General features: G+C 36.1%; 1 protein-coding gene across 64 annotated transcripts in view; it reads right to left on the bottom strand.

Moving 5' to 3' along the window:
- The window catches only part of GULP1 (GULP PTB domain containing engulfment adaptor 1), a 304053-nt gene that overhangs the window by 208324 nt on the left and 68705 nt on the right, over nt 1-27024 (bottom strand). For 59 of the 64 annotated variants that reach the window (NR_164744.1, NR_164745.1, NM_001375929.1 and 56 more), the window contains one exon: nt 3714-3840. The exons of the other annotated variants lie outside the window; for them this stretch is intronic. The gene's annotated coding sequence lies outside the window, so the exon portion shown is untranslated. The remainder of the gene's footprint in view (nt 1-3713; nt 3841-27024) is intronic. 64 annotated transcript variants of the gene reach the window in all.

The raw sequence follows: 27024 nt of genomic DNA, 5'->3' as shown, positions 1-27024 counted from the left end.
TCTTTTGTTTGTGAAAGTGTTCCTCAATTCCCAAGCTGAAAGTGTTACCATTACAAACTGCCCTATTATTTTACTTCTTTCTTGTCACTTAATACAGCCTACTTAAACATAAGAAACCAAAACGTATTTCTTATCTTGCCATATTTTATTGAAAGTTAGAGGTGACAAGGAACTATTTATGTGCCTTCCCTTCTCTAATGTTTACCATCCTCACTGCCATTGCTAATCACAGTGCTTGATAAGTATAAGTTTTCAATAAATATTAATTAGATAAATGTATACTTGATATTATTTCTAAATGGTGTATTTTTAAACAATGTGGAAGATTATACATATATAATATACACTTTTCTTTATTTTTTTTTTTAGATGGAGTCTCACTCTTATTGCCCAGGCTGGAGTGCAGTGGTGCAACCTCGGCTCACTGCAAACTCTGCTTCCTGGGTTCAAGGGGATCTCCTGCCTCAGCCTCTCAAGTAACTGGGATTACAGGCACTTGCCACCACACCCAGATAATTTTTGTATTTTTAGTAGAGACGGGGTTTCATCATGTTGGCCAGGCTGGTCTTGACCTCCTGACCTCAGTTAATCCACCGACTTGGCCTCCCAAAGTGCAGGATTACAGGCATGAGCCACCACACTCGGCCATATAACATTCACTTTTCCTCTAGGCTTAGTTATGTAAGGGAATATATTGCTGAATAGATGTGAGAAAGAAATTGCTACTGCCTGCAACCAAAATTTAAAATTTTAATTTAATTTTCATTTTTTTCAACTTAAACTGGGTTTCATTAGGAAAATTATTTGAATGAGAAAACACTAATCAGTGATTCAATATTTTCAAAACTGGCTAATGAAAACTTTAACTTGTTACTACCTTCTACCGGTAAACTCAGCAATAACAATAAAAAGCCTTTAAAAGATCACAGTCATTGAGCCAGTGATACCAATTCTAGTAATGCTACTAATGCAAACCAAGTGATGTACATATCAATTTATCTATAAGAATATTGACTGAATAATAAATACAAAATAAAAATATTTTAAAACATATTATATATTAACAGATATAATAGAAAATACAAAACACTAATTCATATTCTCAAAGAACAGAAGAAAACAAATTTGTTACACAATAATAAAGAAAATCAACAAAGTATATATATAATTGATATGGTTTGGCTGTATCCCCACCCAAATTTCACCTTGAATTGTAATTCCCACAATTCCCACACATCATGGGAGAAACCTTGTGGAAGGTGATTGAACCATGGAGGTGGGTCTTTCCTACGCTGTTCTCATGATAGTGAGTGGGTTTAAAACCATCACAAGATCTGATGGTTTTAAAAATGGGAGTTTTCCTACACAAGCCCTCTTCTCTTGTCTGCTGCTGTGTGAGATGTGCCTTTCACCTTCTTCCATGGTTGTGAGGTCTCCCCAGCCACATGGAACTGTAAGTCCATTAAACTGCTTTCTTTTGTAGATTGCCCAGTCTTGGGTATGTCGTCATCAGCAGTGTGAAAACAGACTCATACAGTAAATTGGTACCAGGAGTTGGATGCTGCTGAAAAGATACCTAAAGATGTAGAAGCAACTTAGGAACTGGTTAACAGGCAGAGGCTGAAACAGTTTGGAGGGCTCAGAAGAACACAGGAGAATGTGGGAAAGTTTGGAACTCCCTAAAGACTTGTTGAATGGCTTTGACCAAAATGCTGATAATGATATGGACAATGACATCCAGGCTGAGGTGGTCTCAGACAGAGATGAGGAACTTGTTGGGAACTGGAGCCAAGGTGACTCTTGTTATGTTTTAGGAAAGAGACTGGCGGCATTTTGCTCCTGCCCTAGAGATTTGTGGAACTTTGAACTTGAGAGAGGTGATTTCGGGTATCTGGAGGAAGGAATGTCTAAGCAGCAAAGCATTCAAGATGTGACTTGGGTGCTGTTAAAGACATTCAGTTTTATAAGGGAAGCAGAGCATACAAGTTCAGAAAATTTGCAGTCTGACAATGCAATAGAAAAGAAAATCCCGTTTTCTGAGGAGAAATTCAAGCTAGCTGCATAAATTTGCATAAGTAACAAGGAGCCAAATGTTAATCATCAAGATAATGGGGAAAAATGTCTCCAGGGCATGCCAGAGGTCTTCATGGCAACCCCGGAGGTTTAGGAGGAAAAAATGATTTCCTGGCCCAGGGTCCCTCTGCTTTACGAAGTCTAGGGACTTGATGGGCCTGCATCCCAGCTGCTCCAGCCATGACTAAAAGTGGCCAAGGCATGGCTTGGCTGTTGCTTTAGAGGGTGCAAGCCCCAAGTCTTGGCAGCTTCCACATGGTATTGAGCCTGTGGATGCCCAGAAGTCAAGAATTGAGGTTTGGGAACCTCTGCCTAGATTTCAGAAGATGTATGGAAATGCCTGGATGTCCAGGCAGAAGTTTGCTGCAGGAGTAGGGTCCTCATGGAGAACCTCTCCTAGGGCAGTGTGGAAGGCAAATGTGGGGTCAGAGCCCCCACACAGAGTCCCTACTGGGGCACCACTTAGTGGAGCTGTGAGAAGAGGGCCACCATCCTCCAGACCCTAGAATGGTAGATCCACCAACAACTTGCACCCTGCACCTGGAAAAGACTCAGACACTCAATGTCAGCCCATGAAAGCAGCCAGGAGGGCAGCTATACCCTGCAAAGCCACAGAGGCGCAGCTGCCCAAGACCATGGGAACTCACCTCTTACATCAGCGTGATCTGGATGTGAGACATAGCATCAAAGGAGATCATTTTGGAGCTTTAAGATTTGACTGCCCCACTGGATTTTGGAACAGCGTGGGGCCTGTAGCCCCTTTGCATTGGCCAATTTCTCCCATTTGGAATGGCTGTATCTACCCAATTCCTGTACCCTATTTTATCTAGGAAGTAACTAACTTGCTTTTGATTTTACAAGCTCATAGGCAGAAAGGACCTGCCTTGTCTCTAATGAGACTCTGGATTGTGGACTTTTGAGTTGACGCTGAAATGAGTTAAGACTTTGGGGGATTGTTGGGAAGGCATGTTTGGTTTTGAAATGTGAGGACATGAGATTTGAGAGGGGCCAGGGATGGAATGATAAGGTTTGGCTGTGTCCCCAACCAAATCTTATCTTGATTTGTACCTCCCACAATTCCCACATGTTGTGGCAGGAACCTGGTGGGAGGTGATTGAATCATGGGGGCGAGTCTTTCCTGTGCTGTTCTCATGATAGTGAGTGGGTCTCACAAAATCTGATGGTTTTAAAAACAGGCGTTTCCCTGCACAAGCTCTCTTCTCTTGCCTGCTGCTGTGTGAGACGTGCCTTTCACCTTCCTCCATGATTATGAGACCTCCCCAGCCATGTAGAACTGTAAGTCCATTAAACGTCTTTCTCTTGTAAATTTCCCAGTCATGAGTATGTCTTTATCAGTTGCATGAAAATCAACTAAATATAATACTATCATTGTAACTTTGCTTAAAGGAAAAATCCAACAAAACAAAAATAAAATTATATAGAACAAAATGATGACAGAAGTTATTTTCAGAAAAAAGGCTCATCAGTGCTTTTAATTTTATTTTACTTTTATGAATTTTACTATTTTTTACAACAAAAGACTATATTTTTAAACATTCAACACATAATAAAAGCATTTTTATAATTTCAAGTCCTTTTTGGAAATAATGGAAAATGTATAAACAATCATTTATTCTTACCTGGGTATGCTCAAATATAGTTGAAAGAAAATGGACACTTGACTTTATATAGCTTCTATCATACAGTTGCCATCAGAATTCTTCTATCAGTTTCTCTCCTATGTATATCAGATGGAATCATAAATAACTAAAAAGAAAAATATAATTGGACTTAGAATTAATCAATAATTACATTTCTGTTTATTTTAATTTAGAAGTCCAGCATATCTTTTAAAATTCCAATTATGCTTCTTGCAAATGTTCAAGAAAGTTACCAAATAATAGGGAAATAATGATAAAATATGTAAATATTTGGAAAACATTATTACTGATACCTAGGTAATGGAAAATAGCAAGATTTGTAGATGATGTGTTAAATGTTTTAACTCACAGATATGTTACTATTAAAGCCTGGTGATAGTTCTTTAACAATATATGCCTTTCCCCCTTGAACAAGAAGTAGCCCCAACTATCTCTTTCACATATGATTTATTTGGACTAACCAAGCACATACCCTGTTCATGATGATTAAGAAGGTGAAACTGAATTTTAGAAGGCACTGATTTACTTTCATTTTCATTCTACTTTGACTCTTACGGCAAGGCATTTAGATAGCTTATCCTTCTATTCATAATCATGCTATAACTAGAAGAGATATGTTAATTGGTTAAGACTTTTCTATTTTTATTCCAACAAACAAAACAAAAATTCTTTCTGGGTAGACACAACAGCACAAATTATGTCTTCCTTTAATTATATTATTTCGAATGTACCGCTGACATAAGTTCAAATAGTACCAGAATTCACAGCATAGTATCTTTTGCCAAAACACTAAAAAGACCTGATCTTTTTGAGGGAGGGGGAAGAATGGAGAAACATATCTAAGTCTTGTGCCCTGCTTCCCGTCATAACTTTGATACAAACCCCTTGATACAGACATTGATGATGCCATATCTATATTTTTGACTTTCTTAGATAGATCTCAAATATTATTTTATCTCTTCCTCTGTGTTTCAATCTAAGCCATCTGAATACTTTGAAAGCCATCGTTTTCCAGCTTAGCCACAATATTCTTCAGAAGCCTATTGACCTATTTGTTCAATGTATTTGTTTTCTTCTGTCTCAGCCTCCCGAGTAGCTGGGAATACAACTGTGTGGCATCATGCCCGGCTAATTTTTGTATTTTTAGTAGAGAGGGGGTTTCGCCATGTTGGCCAGACTGGTCTCGAACCCCTGACCTCAGGTGATCTGCCCGCTTTGGCCTCCCAAAGTGCTGGGTGGATTACAGGTGTGAGCTACCGCGCCCAGCTTCTTTTTCATATTCTAACATGACTTTAGAGAGAAAGAAAGAATCTCAGTTTAGGTTGCCCCAGAGGCAAACACTGAGGTAATAATAACTTCAATGCGAGAAGTTTATTTGGGAGATGATCCCAGGAAATATTAGCAGGGATGAAAAGAAAGAAGTGAGACCCGGAGTGGAAGACCTCCTACCAACACAGAGATCATTATCAGGCCTGTAACACTACTGGCAACTGCAGCTTAATCTGGCTGGGGAAAATCAGACATCCACTGTGAAATACACCCCTCAGATATATCTCACTGTAAGAATGAGAGCTAGCATATTTATACACCAATCCTCATTAGTCATTAGCTGAGGGTTGCTCCCAGGGGCATTAATTCCCTGGAACTTTCAGCCTATTTGGTTGGCAAAGTGGTCTCTTGTGGCCAAAGAATCCCTTAGGTAGAGAAATGCAGGATAAGCATTAGAAATTTTGCCAGTCTGAACTACAGCACTAAAAGAGAGGTTATAGGCTGATCATCAACAGCATCTACTACAAAAAGCAACAATTTTAAATTTTGAATTAAAATATTAGCACAGTATATTTTAAGGCCATATATTTATATTTTATAATTTTAGTGAAAAATAATGTTTGCTTACTCAGTAACACTATTATTTATTAAATCGTATGTTATTTTCTTAGCATTCACTGGATCTTAGCATGTATGAATGACACAATTCATTTCACCTTGCTGTAAAATGTAAGGGTTGTATCATCACATACTTCCAGCTCTAAAAATAGATGTGTTTATCCTGGACAGGAAATTTCAAGCATGACACATAGTTAAAAGGTAAACTATAAAACCATGTCATAATTTCCACAGTCTTTTATCAGATCATGTTTTTCTTGTTTGTTGGTCTTAAATGAGAGGAGAGAAAAGGAAGAACAAAATTAGTTCTTTTTTAGGATGATATAGTTTTTCCATTTTTCTTTTGACAACTATTGATCTTATGAACAGAAATTAGAGAGAAATAATTCGAGATAAATAATTGTTATCAAAACTATTCAATACATTTCATTCCAAATTTTATAAAAGAAAATATTTTCCTTAAAATGGTCAATTCAATTTAATCAAGATAAATAATTGTTAATAAAACTCTTCAATTGATCTAATTCCAAAATTTAATAAAAGAAAATATTATCCTTGAAATGGTCAATTCAATTTAACATCCCCGTAGCCTTTATTTTTATCTTACGTTGACTGAAACCCAGTCATACTGCAGGAAATACTTTTCAAACTAGAATATTTTATGCAATGTGACAGAATAAAGAAGAGCACAAAAATACACATATCAAAAAATAAGAACTAACTTATGCCTACTTCTGCCTTTCTTCTTGCAGGAAATGACATATTTTCCAAATGGGATCTATTATTCTATGTCTGATATGATTAGATTTTTCATAGAAAGAGCACTTTGAATATTCTTGCAAAACTCAGACTGGCTTAGGGGCTGCTCTTTTGAACATATTTTTATTTTAAAATATAAAATCCTGATTTCCAATTCAAATGCTTCTTAAAATTTTAGTATGAACATAATATGCTCAATTTGATACTGTTTTGCCACCATTTATTATATATTTTCACACAATTTGAAGACGTATATGAAATTAAATGAAACCAACTATTTCTTTACTAAAACTTCCTTTATCCCCAACAGTACCATTTAAGAAAAACATTATTAATGCTGCAATATGACAAAATGCTTCAATTTGTTAATGTAACAGGTAAATCTTAAATATTCTATATGCAATAAACCAAGCAAAACAGAGAAGTCAGGCCAACTTGTATTTCTACTTGTCATCATATGAAATACAGACCACCATTATCATGATCTTAAAATATTTTCAAAATCATTATTCTCTTTTTTACCTAAGTCCAATAATTTAACAGTATTTAATCTAATTTGCAAAATGTTTTAGGAGTTTTCCTGGATATTTCTTTCTTATCCTCTATAAGCTCCTAAATTCAAAATATATAAAATAAGATCTTGGCCCTGATTTTCTTTTCTATTTTTTTCTTGTTTGTCCTGTGACTTTAAGTAAGTAAACGTTCAATCCCCACTGATTGCTCACACCTGAAATCTGGCATGATTAATCACTCTTTTTTCCCTTACCACCTACATGCAGTTAAATAAATTCAATTCTGCTTAATACAACAATCTCCAGTTTGTTTTCCCTCCCAGTTTACACTCCCCACCTATCCATCCCTAGCCAGTCGTAATTTCTCTAACAAGTAATTTGGCCACATCACCAATGCACAAAGTACACATGCCTTAGTATGCCTTTAAGACACCTTCTCAAATGTTTTCACCCCATGTTCCAAGCAAAAGGTACAAAGAAGGTGATATTAGGATGATTGTCCTAAGTAGCTTGGAGCAATCACTTCCTATGTATTCTAGTCATCTCACTAAGGAAATGACATGCAAATAGTCATACCTATACCCCTACACTCTAAGGAAAATAAAATTAGAAAAGTAATTTTCTTCATTAAACCAATATTCACTGGACAGCTATTGAATGCCCAATTGTTTAGTTACTAGTGAGAGGAAAATAAGTCTGTATACTCCTTTGCATGCATCAGTGTGATAAGGACTATGTTCAAGGCAAGGCTAGGTGCTGCAGAAAAGTCTTCCTCAAAGAGATAAGACTCATTAACCTTCAGTTCACAGAAGCTGTCCAGTGAGGATGGTGGGGAAAGCCACGGATGGCAAAGGAAACACCATAAGCAAGGGCACAGGAATAAGAACGAACACGCCATCTTCAAGGATAGGCTATTAGTTAGAATATTTTATTTTAAAATAGAATATTTATAGGAAACTCTTTTGTATAAAACTTTAGTAATAAGATGAGGCTACATCAGGAAGGCTCCTGACTGCCATGTTATAACATTTGTATTTTACCCTAAAGGTGATGGAAGTATGATTAAACAGGGAAGCAGTACAGTAAGATACGTGTTTTAGATATGTATTTAGGAAGATCATATTGCCAAGGCGGCTCTGAAGAGACATGAAAGGGAGGGGATGAGACAAGCAAATTACTTCTTGGAAATGTGTGTATATTTGTTAGATGCTAATGCAAAATAGACTCAAAGCATTCATATTTATAAGATGTAAAACTGAAAAGATCTTTATAATTTAATTTATATAGGAATAGAACCAGACAAAGATAGCTTTAATCCTGGGTTTTTCTATTCCAGGAAATCAGATAAGACCAAGAATTCATATCACCTTTTATTCTTCCAAATGCATTCTGAGTTCCATACCCTCAGCTTTCAGTATGGTAATGAAAAAAGCGATAGCGGATGAGACATGACAAACTCTTCAGAACACATAAGAATTTTAAATTTATCAATTTAAAATCAAATTCAATCCATGCTTTCCATTGCATGTGCTGTTAAACTTTCTGCAGTGCTTTGAAGCTCTCAAGGGCAGGAAATTTTTCTGATTAGAAAAAGTAGGAGAAAAATTATCAAGTCATTCACTCTTTTTGCTGAAATTAGTGGAAAACACAAGTCACTTTCCTTGAAACGTTTGGTTATTATATTTTTCAGTATATATAGTGTGAGTGTGTGTATGAACAAAACACTTAGAAAATTAGAAAATTATAAAGGAAAATAAAAATCATCTATATTAAGATAAACTAAAAGATAATATTTAGACACCTTCTACCCAGTCTTTTTCTAAAACTGAAATTGTACTATACATATGCAATAATTCAGCTATTTCACCCTCCAAACCTCATGTTGAAATGTGATCCCCAATGTTAAACGTGGGACTTAGTGAGAGGTATTTGGGTCATGGGGGCAGATCCCTCATGAATGGCTTGGTGCCATCCTGGTGGTAATGAGTGAGTTCTTGCTCTGTTAGTCCCTTGTAAGAGCTGTTTGTTAAAAAGAGCCTGGCACCTCCCTCCCCTCTCTCTTTTGCCTCTTCTCTTGCCATACCATCTCTGCTCATGCAGGCTCCACTTCAATTTCTGCCACGAGTTTAAACAGCCTAAAGTCCTCACCAGAAGCAGATGGTGGCACCATGTGTCGTATATAGCTTGCAGAACCATGAGCCAAATAAACGTCTTTTCTTTATAAATTACCTAGCCTCAGGTATTCCTTTATAGCAATACAAAGACAACGTACAATTTCATTTCCTACCTTTTGTCACCTACAGTGCAATCATATTCTTATATCATTAAATAAGTCTTCAAATAAATACTATTGGCGTAACATGCCACCTTATAATTTTTTTTGCCCATTGTAATGTTCCACATTTAAGATTTTTTCTTTTTTTTTTTTTTTTCTATATAGAGACACTGTGATGAGTAGAATTGAAGCAAAGTAGCGTAGTGACTAAAATGACTGTAGCTGGCCTGGAAAGTGTTATAAGCCTGATTCCAAAACTATGTTGCCTTGACAGGATATGCCTTAGTCTCCTCATCCATATAATCTAACACACTGTTGCTTTGAGAAATAAACGATTACAAAGTTTGTGAAACACTTAAAGTATTGAATGATATATTCTATGTATATATTTTATCTGTTATATAAATCACTGCTTAAACATCTGACTATTGAGACAAGGGAGAATGGAAATTACCGGATCAAAGTCTGTATATAATTACAATACTTTGTCTGGAAAATAGGGCAAATTACACTCCCAGAGAAGTGAAAAAGTATGCAAACCTCACCCCAATCTTCCTATACTGTTCATATATATCAGGGTTTTAAAAATTTATTTTAATTCAATAGGAAAATTGAATTACAATAGGAAAATTGGCGTATATATTGTTTTTGATTTGCATTTCTTTTACGTAGCATTAGCTTTTGCCCAGTTAGCTTTCTGCACAATTTTTTCTTATTGATAAATTTCCTATTCTCGATTTTTATTGTGCCATTTACATAACTAAGAACTAAGGGGAGAAGATAATTTCTAGCTCAATCCCTAATCGAAAGTTTGGGTATTCATTCTTATCTGAGCCAATGAAGTGATAAGCACATTGCTAACCAATTGGTAGGGGTGCAGAATCACTGACTGGCTTAAGACAATCAGGCAGTATTCCTGGAGATACAAATATGGCCAATTCTCCTAAGTCATACAGCTTCCACACGTGATGAAAGGTGAGTTCCACTGAGAAAAATCTTGTCTATTATAAACATAGTGGTAGGTAAATTTAGAAATAAATGCTAACTGCATATTAATGTGAACTTAGACATAAATGAGATAATCTATACACAGCACTAATCATATAGCCCGACACATAAAAACTCAGCAATATACAGTAATTATTATTTCCGTTGGTGTGTTTAAAAGTTCCATATCTTTCACACTGTAAATAAAACCATAGTACATATCTTTGTACATAAATATTTGTTGTGCTCATCTCAAATTCTTTCTTTTTTTTTTTTTGAGATGGAGTCTCGCTCTGTTGCCCAGGATGGAGTGCAGTGGTGCAATCTCGGCTCACCACAACCTCCGCCTCCCAGGTTCAAGCAATTCTCCTGCCTCAGCCTCCCAAGTAGCTGGGACTACAGGCATGTGCCACCACGCCCAGCTAATTTTTGTATTTTTAGTAGAGATGGGCTTTCACTATGTTGGGCAGGCTGGTCTCGAAATCCTGACCTCATGATCTGTCAGCCTCAACTTCCAAAAGTGCTGGGATTACAGGCATGAGCCACTGCGCCCGGCCCAAATTATTTATTTCTTGTGGCTTCATAAAAGTGAAATTCCTGTCAAAAAGTATTTGATCTTTTTAGTATTTTAATGCACATCATCAGGTTATTTTCTGGAAAGATATGTCAACATAGACTTCCACCAATAGCATATGACAATGCTGAATTTAAACCACACTTCCCAGCAATTATCTTTTTAATCTTTGACAATTTGGCAAATTTTATCCCTTTTTCTAAAATGTGTACTTCTTTAACTGCAAGTGAAGTATAAGTTTATATGTTTATTGAATGCTTATTTTATAACTTTTATTTTCCTTTTGGTGTGCTTTTTAATTTCATGGCATTTCAATGAGGTTTTCTGAGGTTTTCATAAAAACCTTATGGCTTATGGCCTTTGAACGTTTTATTCTTTTAACTTGGTTGCTCTTCTTACAGGTAACCAACTGTTCACTCAATTCCATCATTAGATTAGGAAAGGTTGCCTTACAGTTTATTTTCCCTTAATGTCATTATTATATATTTTGTCCATAAAATAACGTAATTTAAATTGCTAAATCTTACGTTAAGACCTTAGCTATGAATTGATACAAAGGCATTAAAGCAAGTAAGTCATTATCACAGGTGTTTTTAAAAGTGTATTTAATTAATGATTAAAATTGTATTTGTCTAGTGTGTTTTATAGATTTAATTACATTTAATTTTGGGGATTAATCATCTTTGCATTTAGTTTATCATTTAACACTAGGAATACAGTTAACCCTTAAACAACACAGGTTGGACTGCATGGGTCGGTCCACCTCCAGGTAGATTTTTTTTTTAATAAATACACTTGGCCCTCCATACCCACAGGGTTTGCATCTGAAATCAAACTCAAATGGAAAGTACTGGTATTCACAGAATGTAAAACGTGGATATGGAGGGCTGGCTTTTCATATATACGGGTTCCGCATGGCTACTGCAGCCTTACTTGAGTATGCACAGATTTTGGTATCTGCTGGTGGCCCTGGAATCAATCCCCTGAGGATACAGGGGAGTGAACATATCTGTAAAACCCTGCGAATATGGATTTCAGCACCAAGATCAATAGAAACAGAATTTTTTCCAAATATTCCCCATATTTTAAGCCCCTGCCTTCCTTCTTTCATTTAGAAGATGAAATTGTGATTCTCTATTCTTTACTATAGTATTTTAATACATTAGAAATATTCAGATGATTAAAGAAAATATTTATACAACATCTATTCTAAAAGCCACTATTAATTTTTAAGACTACCTGTTACTCCTAAAAGCTGTAAAACTATGTAAATACATTTCAGTATTAATGAAAAGAGAGCAAGTCTTCATTAAGAGTTCTTATTAAGCACTTTTGTAAACAGTCACACAATGGAAGCTGCTGGAATGAAGGAAATCAGGAAACTGTGGTTGATTTCCTAACGAAAAGTTGGGCCAGAAAGCATTCATTAACTTGGATTACATAAAAAGTCATTAGTTTAATTTTTCCAGTCCTGTGGAGTTTAATTTTGTTCATGTTAATATCCATAGAGTGTGCAATATATTTAAAGGCAAATTTCAGTGAGCTATTATTCAGTCTTCCAATTTCCCACAGTTGCAGGATGCAGCGGTCGGGAGCTTTACTAATACTTGTCTGTATTCTACATTAATTGTAGTATCACCATAATTGGATATAATTTCACTCAAATTATACATACACTGCTCGGTAAAATCTGGAATACCTTCTGTACCAATATAATCAAGCACAAAAACATATACAAATTTGTCTGCTGTTAGCCATATAATAATAATTGTTTCACAGATGAGGAAACAGTCTCAGAGATGCAGACATCACCAATATTTTATATGATGATTGGTTATGCCTGAAGGCCCTTCTTCAGCAATCGAACATTTTCAATATCAATGTTTTGTGATTGTTCTTTATGTTATTCTAATACCAAATGTTATTTTACCATTTAAACTGTTGCTCTTTTGCTCAGTAGCATTTTCACATAACAGTGTGCATTTCACCCTGCACCCTGCATTTAACTTGTTTATACATACACTATGCTTTCCTGTCACCACCCAACACCCTCCCCTCCACCAAAATATTCTGGTAATAGCACCCTGAATTTCCTTTGCAGACTTTTTTTTTTTTTCCTCTTTCCTGGTAGTTATGTTTGGCTAAGGGTGACCCTAGCTGTAGTTCCAGGACTGGTCAATGGCAGTACCATGATCCTAATAGTAATTATTCACTTATGAGTGGGAATGTGGAATAAGTTAAAATAAAGAAAATACAATCAGCACCCTTTTTAAAAAACTACAAAGAAACAATCCCTTTCAACTTGAATTAACGAACTGGAGGACTGAAAACCTGGTGGCTATTTTGACCTCATGTTTCTTGCCTTAAAATATAATTCAGTGGATAACAAAGCTATGAGAGAGAAATAAATATCTAACTGCCTGGATTCAGTCAGGCCTGAAGGACCACTCTAGAACTTTCTACTATAGTAACCAATGCATATTCTTTGGCTTAACTGAGTTTTAATTGGTTGTCTGCCAAGTACAACAAAATAATTACTCTTGAATGTATGTATTATTTACTAATGTATACTATGCATTTTACTGAATTTTTCTATGGCTTCTCCCAAATTGAGCTAATATTAGCAAATAATAATGAACCAAAATGATTGATTCTTTGAAGGAAATAAAAGTTTTCTATAAAATGATACAGATACTCTTTTGGTGTTTTAAAGACATTTGTTATTGTTAGAAGCAAAAAAGGGACATGGAATTTCAGATGAGCCTTCAGTAGATTTTAAGAATTATATATACTTCAAGTATGTTTATATACTTTAAAATTTTTATGTTTGCTTAAGAAATGATGTCACATAGTTTTTCATCAAATTTAGGTTGTGATATTCTATTAATTACATCTTCACTTCTTTTGAAGATAGTAGAGGAGACCAATTTTTAAAACTGTAAATAAACAGATTTAGAAGAGATATGAACAATTTCATAAATGTGATATGTTACAGGTGATATTGAGCACTTCCTAATTTAATAATTACACAAAGACCAAATGATCTCTCTTCATTCCAAATGAATTAATAACATATTTTACACCGCAAGCAAATGAAGAAATCACTGGAAGCTTAATAGTATTATTCCAATTCAATTCTACTCTAATAAGGTATTTTCTTATGTCTTTGAAGCTCTTCCCAAAGACAATAGCTAAGTAAATCATTTGTGTCTTAATAACTGGTCAAATAAGTTTCTAGAGTAATTATCTGCTTTGATACCTTTTCACTGCCTAAGGATTCGACATCTACTATGTGATATCTCAGTGGCCTGTCAAAAAAAATAAAAAAACTATAGACACTTGAACTATCAATGTTTATGGAACTGGAAAAGTAAATCCAACCTTATTTTATAAGAAACTTAAGATATATCAGATGCCTGGGTCTACAATTTCAGTATTGAAAACTGGATGCTGGTATACAGGACAGCATCACAAAATATCATAAAGAACCAAAATATAAAGAACCAAAAATGTATCTCTAAATATCAACTATTAAATAAATAAAAGTTTATCTTATTAAGCTCATTTTTCTTCATTGCTCCCTCAGAAAGTATTAGGCTACTTTTCTCTTAAATTAGTTCAACTGTATTATACTATTTAAATCTGATTAGTACTGAAGGTACTTGATTCCTCTCTAGAATGTTCTTCTCCATGTTTCCTCTGTTAGAGCTTAGTTCCCACTTCAAACAGAATTCAGTAAACTATGACTACTTAAGAAAGAGGCCATGCATTATAAATATATATATATATAATCATTCCCTTCCCCAGCTCCATAAAACACACTGTGATATAAATGAATATATAAAATGCTTATAATAAACAAGGATTATTTTCTATTTACCCAAGCTAAGGACATCTTTCTCTTCAGCCTATTCTTGGATAGAAGGATAAAACGCAGAAGGGAATTTTTTCTCTCCTAACAAAACTTTAAAAATATCTCTGACCTTTTTAGTTATCTAACATTTACTCTGTGATACCTGAAGATAGTTTCCTATCTGTGAGGAGAGAAGATTGCAATTATCTCATTTGAGCTCAGTCTTCCAAGACCCAATGATATGGCTTAGTGTAGATAGCAAGTATCTTCTTTGTTCACAGATCTCCAGAAGAATAAAAGGGGCAGAAATATCAACATAAAAAGGTCCAGTCTAATTTCATTTAACAATTAGATATGTCACATGGATGTTAGGTCAAAATAATCTACAGAGCACTTGCAAAATGATGTTAATAATACCTAACCTCCCTCTCTCCTGGAGTATTTTTAAAGGAGTTCATGTATGAAAACACTTTCAAAACTGTAAGTACAATACAAATATGAGGTCATATTACACATTCCAGGAGAAGTTATGACATGCTGAAAAGGCAAAATTTACAACCAAATTTCCTTTTTCCAACAAGTGATGTCAGAGTGCACTTGCATGTAAACTTTCGCAGACATTTCACCATAAGAAACAGGTTATGTAATACTAACGATATTTAATTTCCAAGCTGTATGTAGTTAAAAGAAGTAAATGACCAACTAGGAATCTTCCCAATGCTCTGAATCTATTAGTAAGTAGAAAGTACTAGTACTAGCCATAGGAGGTAACTCCTCTGGAGAACTAGATGCAGCTGGGCAAACCAGTCTTCATCAATTTGCCATTCATGAAAACACTTATATTCAAGTCAGCACAATACATTATCTCAGTGAAGACAACTTGATACAGTTAATGAAGATAATACTGCCAGAGGCACATCCTCTCTGTGTTTGCTGTAACCATTCACAGCAACGACAACAAGTGAAATTAAAGAAACAAAAGTCTTCCAATCTCATAGTTTGAGGCATTGGAAAAATCAATGATGTAGCTACCTCTTAAATGGATCTAACTTTCTCTGAAGCCTGACTGAAAGCTCGTTCAGTAGTATATAATAATCAGACTATGATATTGTAAAGATTCATCTTTATCTCTTCTCTTGCTGTAGTCACCCAACACACATTTACCAAACACCTGCTCAATGTTGTGCATTGTATTGTGGACTAGGAAAACAGATGAAGAAATTGAGTTTCTAATCTAATAGTAGAGTAGACAGACAAGTAAATAAATTATAATAACTTGTTATCATAATGTTATAATAGATGTCAGCCTATTAAATGCTTGCTTAACTTAATTATTAATTTCTAAATAGTAATCTATACTAATTAGGTAAGCTTCTGATCATGATGAATTTGTAAGTTTCTTTTAATTTAAATGCTTTCACTGATATAATGACATTTTATTTTCAAAACTACTCTGTCCCATACACAGTGTTGTGCTTTCCTTCTTTTACCAAAGAGAAAATCAACGTTGAAAGATGAGTTAGTAGCACCACAGCCAAGGTCAGGACTCAGAAATCTCGACTCTCTTATTTCCTTCTTACAAATGGAGGATAACACATCTAGTTTGCATGTTAAAATCCTTTGTACTATTTATCATTTGATTTCACCATTTTAGGGAACTGTAAGTTTTTATTGATAGTGCTGGAAAAGAAAAACTCTCATTCATTGTAGAATGTGTTTTTATTAGAAAACCATTCTAAGCTATTAATTGTTTATTGCCAAATGAAATAATGATGTTTATTGTTTTCTATTAATACCTGCCAAGAAACCCTGCTTCAGAAAAAAATCATAAACAGTATGAAATTTGAAAGAATATAACCATTTGTACAAATGATTAAAAACTGCAGCCTAATCAAGGAAACCATAGTATTCAAACTACTTACATCTTGCCAGCTGATTTGTAAATACAGCAACCACGGACTTACTGTATGTCTGAATTAGATAAAAATTACATCATTTTCTTTGTGCCTGGGAAATAGTAAATGCTCAATAGATGTTTAGGAAGAGTTTGGGTAAAGAATGAAAAGTGTTAAAGAGAGGAGAAAAATCTTATCAATAGGTCACCAATCTCCACCCTGCCAAAAATCAAACCAACAATCATCACACACACACACATACACACATGCTTAAAGGGAAGTAACACATACATTTGAAAGTATATTCTCTTAAAGACAATCCCCCCTCAAATTTAAAAAATGCTAACTGTGCTTTTGGCCAATGTTACATGTGTAATTTCTTGAGTGTTAGCTCAAGGACTTACTTTGCAGAGAAGCAATTTATTCAAGACAGAGACTACACTGTGAGATGCAATCTTTATTATGTTTTAAAACTGAAATAGCCTCAAATACTTACAGACGTCAACATTATCAAGTAAGTTTAATTCCCAGTATAAGTGGTTTATGTGTTTTTAAGTCTCATCTATGGATTGAAATAACCCATAAAGTAGTTAGTAAATGACAATTAATTTGTAAGGAAAATTGTGAACTAAATGAGGAGGGCATAAATAAAATATGCAATGAGATCCAAAGAAAGTCTCAAAAACTCAGTGAGGAATAGTTATGTCTCATTCATTGATTGTTTTGCTCAAAACAGAAATAAGGTAAACAAAAATATAAGGTCAACCAAGAGCAAGTTTCTGTGCTAGGTACCATAGATTGTCCAACCAGTGCACTTGTGACAAGGAATTTCTCACTATGCTCAAACTGGCCATCTGTGTGCTCTCAAAATGCCTGCCATGCCTATAAATCTCATCTGTGAATGTCATCCCCCATTCTCCTGCTGGAAGAATAACCCTACCTTAAGACAATCAACATAAGCCTTTCCCCCTCTGAAGATACGAGAGTAGGCACCTGAGCTAAGACTAGATCATCTAAGGCTTACGTGGGGATCTGGCACAAAACCTCCACCTAAGCAAAGCAACAGCAGCTTGGGCAACAAAGCAAGACCCTGTCTCTACAAAAAATACAAAACAAATTAACCAGGTGTGTTGGCACACACCTGTAGTCCCAGCTACTTGAGACGCTAAGAAGGAGGACTGCTTGAGTCTGGGGAGTCAAGACTGACGTGAGCCATGATGGCACCATCACACTCCAGCGTGGGTGACAGAGGGAGACTTCCGTCTCTTAAAAAAAATGCAACAGTAACAGTGAATTACCTGAACCAAGAATAGGCTCTAGACTCTGAGCGGGATGGGAAGAGAATTAGTCTGTTTGTAGCTGGAGCAGAAAACCAAAGACACAGAGGAATAAGATACTTTACAGATGTTATAAAGCAGTAGAGTTCATGAATAATAAGTATAAGTGATAAGAAACCGAGACAGAAAATGGTAGAGAAACATCTACAATAAAGAGAGTACTGGTGGCAGCAAGAAAAATATGACAGAGGGAGCTGTCATCCCAATGGCAGAGGATCAACTCTGTCACTAGGGGGCAGAGAGGGAATCTACTCAGAAGAGCCACACTAGTTACGTCCCAATTCTGAATCTCAGTCCATCTTCCCCGGGTTCTCTTAAAGACTGGACATGTTGGCTGGGGTTCCTGTCTTGTTCATCTCTAAACTTAGCCTTTCTGAGGTGAGTGAGTTTTTTTTTTTCTTGCAATCAAAAGAATCTATCATAATCTTTTCTGTCTGGTCTCCTTAACATCCATTCAAGGAACTTGTCTTAAAATGATGAATGAACAAAACTTTGATTGTATACAACACTGTAAAAATATTTTTTTTACAGCCAGGCATGGTGGCTCACACCTGTAATCCCACCACTTTGGGAGGCCGAGGCAGGCGGATCACCTGAGGTCAGGGGTTTGAGACTAGCATCACCAATATGGTGAAACCCCATCTCTACTAAAAATACAAAAATTAGCTGAGTGTGGTGGCATGCACCTGTAGTTCCAGCTACTCAGGAGGCTGAGAAAGGAGAATTGCTTGAATCTAGGAGGCAGGTTGCAGTGAGACAAGATCACACCACTGCACTCCAGCCTGGGCGACAGAGTGAGACTCTGTCTCAAATATATATATATATATATATATATATATATATATATATACACACATATATATATACATATATATATATTCTATCTATTAATACACTCTCAAAGAATTATACTAACCCAATGAAAAGAAAAAAAAGGCCACATAAATTTGTTATGTGTCTTAAGTCACTGAAAAAAGTGTAGTTTTCAAAAAAGGAAATATGTTTTTCATTTATACATAACTGTTCTATAGCTAATTCAAAGCAATAACAACAAATAAACCTATGCTGTGGTTATCTTTTCTTTCTTCACAAGAACAGTAGGGCAAACATAACTTAACTTTGGCTTCTGTATTTTCTTTGTTATACTGAAAACATTTTTTTAACTAAAGTCTATTTTATTTATCTATTTACTTATTTATTTATTTATTTTAGATGGAGTCTCGCTCTGTTACCCAGGCTGGAGTGCAGTGGTGTTATCTCGGTTCACTGCAACCTCTGCCTCCTGGGTTCAAACAATTCTCCTGTCTCAGCCTCCCAAGTAGCTGGGACTACAGGCGCATGCCACCACATACAGATAATTTTTCCATTTTTAGTAGAGATGAGGTTTCACCATATTGATCAGGCTGGTCTCGAACTCCCGACCTCAAGTGATCCACCCGCCTATGCCCCCAAAGTGCCAGGATTAAAGGCATGAGCCACCACACTCGGCCATAAAGTCTAAATTAAATGTATTCATAGGTTCCATCAATGTCGCAGAAAAAACACATTCTTTCTCAGTTTTATAGATCCCTCAACACCAAAAAATCCCCAGACCTTTTTTCTAGATTATTCTTACATATGCATTAGATTTTATTTACCTAAATCATAAGATATTAGGTATAGAATTTTTACCATACTTACAAAATCATACCCTGCAGCTGGGAGAAAGGCAAAAGAAGAAAAAGAGAAAGAGAAGATTGAAAGAAGAGGAAGGGATAGAAAGCAGAAAGGTTTCTGCTATAAAGGAGACACAAAAGAAAGAGATGAAAAGGGTGAAAAAAATGAGGTGGACTAATAGATATAAGTGTGCTCACAGAGCATCACCATGTCCTTATTTTCCAAGCTTCACAATCAGAACCCCCACCCACCCATCCTACAGTCAAAACACTTCAGGCAAGAGATCAACTGGGCTTTTTTATTCCTCATTTAATGATACTGATCACTCTTCTGACAGGTTGCAGGACAGTGATGATGGCTGGGTCCAGAGTCGCAGCCTCCTCCCTCTCAGAAGCTACCCATTCTGTTAAGAGGCCACAGACAACCACGTTCCTAATTGTGCATCCCTCCTTGGGCTTCAGTATGTAACCGTTTCTATCTTGATACCTGTTTCTGAGTTCCTAGAATCTTAATGTACTTTTGTCACACCCTCCCTCCAGAAACTGAAACTTGACAAATAAATCCCATTCACTGGCATGGCAGACCTAGACTTCAAAAAGAACACTGGTTAAAGCCCCAGGTGTCTACATATTAAATACCACCTGATTCTCCATTGCTGTGCCATGCCCACAAGCTAAAGCTCCCTATTGCTCCATCGGGGACTCCTGGAGCTAATCTGTTTCCTCCAAAGCACCTGGAGGTAGTCTTGGGAAACCTTGGACATCAAGCTGCTTCTATTTACTCACTAGAACGCAACTGTCTGCCCTGCAGCTGAGACAACATCCCCAGCACCTGGCCTGCTCCCCTAACCATCGTGACCAGTTCACACAGACACAGACAAATACTAAGATATGAGAAAAACTATAAACAGTGGGACATCATTCCAGTAACTGAAATGTATTCATTTAACCAATATTTATTGAATATCAGGGATAATGTCTCTATGGTAGTGAAACAACATGAACAAGACAGATTTTCTGCCCTCAAGGAATTTGTGCTCTATTTATCTGCACATATAAACAAAAATTTAACTACATATAAAGGTAAAAACATCCATTTGTTACTACAACAAATAAAAATATGTGCACTTCTATCTATTGTCTAATATAGAGGAAAGTATCTGAAATGTTATGTCAAAATACAAGTTAAGGAGCATATGCCACATTTTCTTGAGTGGAAGATGCAAGGATTTAACAAATTGGGGCCAGGCAAGGTGGCTCACGCCTGTAATCCCAGCACTTCGGGAGGCCGAGTCGGGAGGATCATGAGGTCAGAAGATCCAGACCATCCTGGCTAACACGGTGAAACCCCATCTCTACTAAAAATACAAAAAATTAGCTGGGCATGGTGGCGGGCGCCTGTAGTCCCAGCTACTCAGGAGGCTGAGGCAGGAGAATGGCATGAACCTGGGAGGCGGAGCTTGCAAGTGAGCCGAGATCGCGCCACTGCACTCCAGCCTGGGCAACAGAGCGAGACTCCATCTCAAAAAAAAAAAAAAAAAAAAAAGAAAGTAACTGGAAGTCGCCCTACAAAGTAAAATACAAAAAGCCCATGTAATTGTAGATAGACAGACATGCAAATGAATCAAAAGGTGACGGAAGAAGAAAAGAGAGCTAGTTCAGATGCAATAGATGCTATACTGGGCAGTTAACACAGAAATATGTGCACTTAATAGTCAGATATGTGACATGGAGCTTATTTTTTTCTCTTGAATTGCACATAACATCATGAACTTCATAAACATCAATCTGTCTAGGGAAAATAATTCTGCCTTTCTGGTATTCTTAGTCCAGTGGCTTTGTCATGTAAACCGTTTCTTGGTTTTTGTTTTTATGGGGTGTTTGGGGGCTTTGCTTTGTTTTGTTTTTCAAATCTCAGTCACTATTCAGCATAAAATTTCTAATTTAGAGTTTCCTTTCCTCCTTTACAGGCCCTTCTTTTGCCCCATACCCCCTTCTCCTATGCTGTCTTTTCTTGGTTGGCCTGCTCTGGCTGCTGGAGGTGTCACAGAAAGTTGGATAACCTGAGGGATGCCCCTCAGTTGAGCAGAAAAGTTGGACAGGTGGTCTTGATCATTTCCTTCCCTGCTGGACATTGTTGTTCCCATCATCATTTTATCTGGCCCTGGCATTGGTATGACACTAACCTACTAATGTTCTGGCCACTTGTTCTCTCTAGGTCTGCCCAGATGGCATCCCTTTAGCTCTTTTCTGCAGCACATTCATGGCTTTCAAATGTGCATATACCATATCGCCCACTTCAAGGTTTCTGACATTAGAGATTCCAAGAGCAGTGTTGTTTCCCTTGTCTCACCCCTTCAGGCAATCTCTGTATGTTCCATAACATAGGAAGCAGATTCCTGCAGGGCCAACTAGAGTCCGCTTACTTCTCAGGCCTGGACTATCTTTACCGTGCCTTTCTTGACATCCTACCCTCTCTTAATTCATTCTTTCTAAAGTCCTCAGACAATGTTGCAGACATTCCTTCCCAGTAGACTTGCAACAAGATCCAAACCAATGTTCAATCAACAATTATCAGCTTCCTTCTAATAAATATTGGTAGCACTCAAGAATTTTATGCTTCCTCATAACCAACCTGACAACCAGGTATATTTCACAGCAAAACAAAGCACAAACAAAATTCTGCCTCATAAGCAAATATTAGCCAGTAGGCACAAAAACAGTCATACATACTGTTCCAGTAAGCTCTGTGAAGTCCCTAGTCTATCACTACAAAAGCCCCTTACATGAATGGTGATCTCCAAGATAAATAAAATTGCATCCCTTACAAGATTAACCTTCCCAGTCAATCCAGGAAAAGATCCTAGGACAGATCTTCCATTAAGATATGGCAGGGCAGGAGTATAGGACCATGTGTACTGCCATACCAGCACACAGCTGGCAAGGCAGAGATTTCCAAACCATATTTCTAGCCAGCTGCATATGATGAACACCACTTGTTTCATCAGGGAAACACTATTTCTAATACTTTTTGTGCTAATTAACCCACTGGTACAGATGTAAACAGCAATTTGAAATCTTGCCCCAGCTGCCTCCAGAACTTAGATCACTGATTAAAGTCCTTCAAGTATTATCCAACCACTCCAGTGGTGGATGTCAAAATGAAAATGAATTGACCCAAGTGTGTGTGTGTATATATATATATACACATATATATGTGTGTGTGTGTGTATTTGTGTATATACGTGTGTGTGTGTGTGTATATGTGTGTGTGTGTGTTTGTGGATACATATATACTTGGATCATATATGTATATATGTGTATTTATGTATATATGATATGTATATGTATATATATCATGTATATATGTATATATGTATATGTATCATATATATAGATATGTATATGATATATACATACACACACACACACACATACATATCCCATGATCTACACTGCAGCATATCAACAAAAATTATGGATGATATTCAGAATGAGATTCTCATCTCCCCTCTTTGATAAAAAACCGCAAACCATAGGTTACATGACTAGCATCTCCCTCCCAGAGAAAGAAAGAAGAGGAACAGAGAAAATGATAATGCTCCATAGCTGCTCTCCTTCAAGGTTACAGTCTGTCTTATAGCTCCCTCTTCATCCTTCCCTGGAGACAGAATGTTCCAAATTAGTTGGGCTTTATTACTACACAGATGCGAAGGCTGACAGCCTACTACCATGAGCGTGGTAGTATTCTGAACATGCTGTTTGGAATTAAAAATCTTCACTTTCCACTGTGAATTCTCTCCACAGACCTCCTTTCACCTATTAAGTAACCCAATAACCCTGAGGATCAACAAGTGGTTTCAGTGATCCTCCACATAACAGAAATGCAAACACCCACATGGAAAGCCAAACGGGATTTCCCAGGGATTTGCAGGCACTTATTTGCAAAAGGATTGCCTATTGCTTGAGCAAGATGATCAGATAGGAATCCACAAGGATTTATTTAATTATTTACCTACAGCAAATGATTCTCCTGAGAAGCACAGAGGGAGGTCAGCAAGTTCTAAATAAGCTAGATGCTAGACAAAGTAGCAATAACACACATTAAGTGCACTGAATGTAAACTGAAGATTTTAATTTACCTTTTAAAAAGCTGCAATGTTAGATCTGATAAGTTTAATAGAACATAATATATAAAATCTGATGTAACACAAGCGCATAAAGTATGATCAGCAGGGACTACTGCCACTGGTTAGCTCTTAAAGCTGCCACAAATTAGACACATAGAAATAAGCCCTTATTTTCATGAGTGCTAAAGCTGCTCCTCTCTCAAATTTCTTAACTTGCAAATGTCAGTTCTTCAAGTTATACAGTATTTCTTCCTTTCACTCAACTCTCTACATTGTCATCAAATCTTATGTACAATGGCAAAAACCACAATTACTATTGCTCCGACCTAATATTTTGCTTTCAAAAGAGTGTTAAAATGTATACCTTCGTCTTCATTCCATTAGTGTCAGAGATTAATAACCCTTTGCCTTGAAAATTGGACTAACACTTCATTCATTCCTACACTGTTTTCCCCAGTCCTTGCTCTGCTCTCTGGCATTGATAGCTTATAACTGCAAATCTTGATTCTGCCACCCACCTATCTACCATCCTTCAATGTTTCCTTGGAATTTTCAAGATAAATTTTACACTCCTCCATAATTAGGTCCCTGCAAACATCTAAACTAAACTCTAGTCAATTAATTCTTGATGCACAGCCATTGCTTTTGCTAGTTCCAATCCATTGGACTCTAAGGGCTACAAATTATTGCATAACATCTACAGATCCACACACCAAGTAACCATCTATAGACTAAAAACATTACACACAGAGATATACTGTAATTATTCAAAGGTGTAAAAATGAACCCTCAAAGTTACCAAAGGCAGTTAGATGTTATGACTTTAAATTCTTACAAATACACTTGAAAAATACAAGTGTTTTCTATAAGAAAAAGTAGGCAATGATGTTAATTTAAAAGATAATAAAGATTAAGTAGTCATTTTTCAAACTTTAATATTTCCATAACTCCTAGGAAATTAACTGTAGGAAGTCTTTCCAGTCACTTAGCTACTTCATCTACCTTTCTTTACGATTCATATTTTTTTCTTTTTTAAAAAATTAGAACCCACCTCCTATTAAGCGTCTTTTTCCCTTTCCATATTCTGTTCTCCTTCACTGGTTGGAAGTAAGATGTGCTAGATCTCCAAATGTTTCGGTTGTTACACATTTGGTGGGAAAAGCCACTGTGTGCATTGAAAGGATCAAACAATGTTTTACTCTCTTGGCCAGTATGATCCATCAGCCTTCTAAGTCAGATTACAAGTGAAAAAATGGAAAGGATCTACACCCATAATGTCCAGAAGCTTGTTAAAGAAACACAAACATCTAATATCTTGGCATATGGCTAAGAGGACTGTAGTTACTCCTTTGTGAAAAAACCTGGGGTTACTTGTAAATTTAAATTTAAGACTTTAGAAGAACAAGCAACAGACCTTTAACACGTTTACCTGTACGTCCTGCAGGCACTAATAAGGGAATAAATTTCACATCTGTTCAGTGTCAAAAAGAATCACAAGTCTTCCACTGTTTTGTTTTGTTTATAAACATGTGCAGGTGAGTAAGGCATCATCAATAATATCACGTGCAGAAATAAAAGTCAGTAATATATGTAGAAAAACATTTCCAAAAATGAGTTCTGAAAAACACTAGTTCTATGAAACATATGAGGTGTTTTACACACACACTCAAAATGGTTCCATAGGACTAAACATATTTAAACAATGTTATAATGGTATTCCTCATATTTTTAATACATTAATGTTTATTTTGAAGCTCCAAATAATTCCTTATTTTATCTCACAAGGAAACACTTTTACATGGAATATTTCCAGAGTTTTGTTTGTAATGTGCTCAGAAAAATGATGAGATAGACACAGTTTCACCATTAACAATTTTATTTTCAGAAAATGGGTCAACTGCTACAACTAAGCTCTTGACTGAAAGGCAGAAGTATATGACATGCAAGTAGTCATTAGCACATTAAATCAGGTTCATAAAGATGTCATGAAATAATTTTTACTTTTTAAAATTGAGGAACAATAAATCTCAGTATTTACAAAAAACATTTTGTCAATAAGCAGGAAATAGAATTAAATTTGGAAAAGCAGGCAATCATGATGGAAACAAGATTTTGTTCAAAATCTCTTTGAATTAAGAAAAAATGTATTGAATATAAATGACATACATTTATTAAAAGAAATGTGCTTCTTCCTCTCCATTAGAACAGGATAGTTGTCACCATATACATCATAGGCATGGTAAGCATTAAGCTGCTTTCTAAACCAGGTCATTAAAAGCTGAATAGATAAGTGTCAATTTTCCGCCAACAAAGTTTTCTTCTCATACAATTAATCTGCCAAACAGAATTACCTCAATTTGGTTTAGGTGTGAACACCTAACAAATCACAACAAACATCAAATGTGCAATTTCCAAGGGTGTCCTCCATATTTTTTCTGTAATGATGTTAAAGTCACAATGATCTTTTTATGCAAATAATATCACATCATTTCCACGCATAAAAATCATTTCATAGTTTCCGCCAACACTTACAGACCTATAGATCTTACATAAGCTGGCCCTTGTTTCTCTCTCTCTCTCTCTTCTCTCCTGCCTCCCCTGCCCCACCCATTCCATTCACAAAAATCTTCTATAAATCTTCTTGCTGTGCCTCAAACAAGCCAGAGTCATTCCTGCCTTAGGATTTCTTTTCCTAGACCTTGGCCTAGCACCTTTTCATGCTCAGAGACTCTAATTTAAATCACTAGAGATCAGAAGCAGGCATCAGCGTTTCTTGAAAATGACTAGATAAAAAGAAGCCTGGGACAGAACAGATGAATAAATGATTGACAAAAACAATGACAGCGACTCTCTATCAAATAATTTTACAAAGCAGAACGTATTTTACATGCTGCACGTAACATTTAGCATTTAATACGTCATGGTCAAGCTATCTTTGTCATCTGCGCAATATTACGCAATGCAGTGACATTTTAGAAAGGCAAAGAGCTTTAAATTGCTAATTTATTGGGGAAAATAATTAAGTTTTCAGGTTCACGCCACCATAAAAGAGAAACTATATTTCATGATTACGTTGAATAATACCCTTCAATTGTATGGTAACTAAACTATTTATTATATATTAAAATCAAGACTGTTATTTGGGCTATTTACTTTTCAATTCTTAAAATCAGATAATAAAATGAAATACAAACTTCACAATAAAATTTCTAAAAGGCAGTTTGTGTTTTATTGCTCTGTATTCACATAAGCATGTCATGCCTTGCTATCTTTCCAAAAACAGCAGCCAAATGGTTTCCATTTAATCTCCTTCTCCAGTGCTGTCTTGACTGACAAGAGCACTTTCAAGGACACAGGGATCAGACATTGTGCACACCATGACCAAACCAAAAACAAAAGCTTCACCACTTACTTAGTCAACATTGA

This window comes from Homo sapiens, chromosome 2 (genome assembly GCF_000001405.40).
Source record: "Homo sapiens chromosome 2, GRCh38.p14 Primary Assembly".
Classification (NCBI taxonomy): domain Eukaryota; kingdom Metazoa; phylum Chordata; class Mammalia; order Primates; family Hominidae; genus Homo; species Homo sapiens.
Note: the sequence above shows the minus strand (reverse complement) of the source record. Positions and strands in the feature narration are given on the sequence as shown.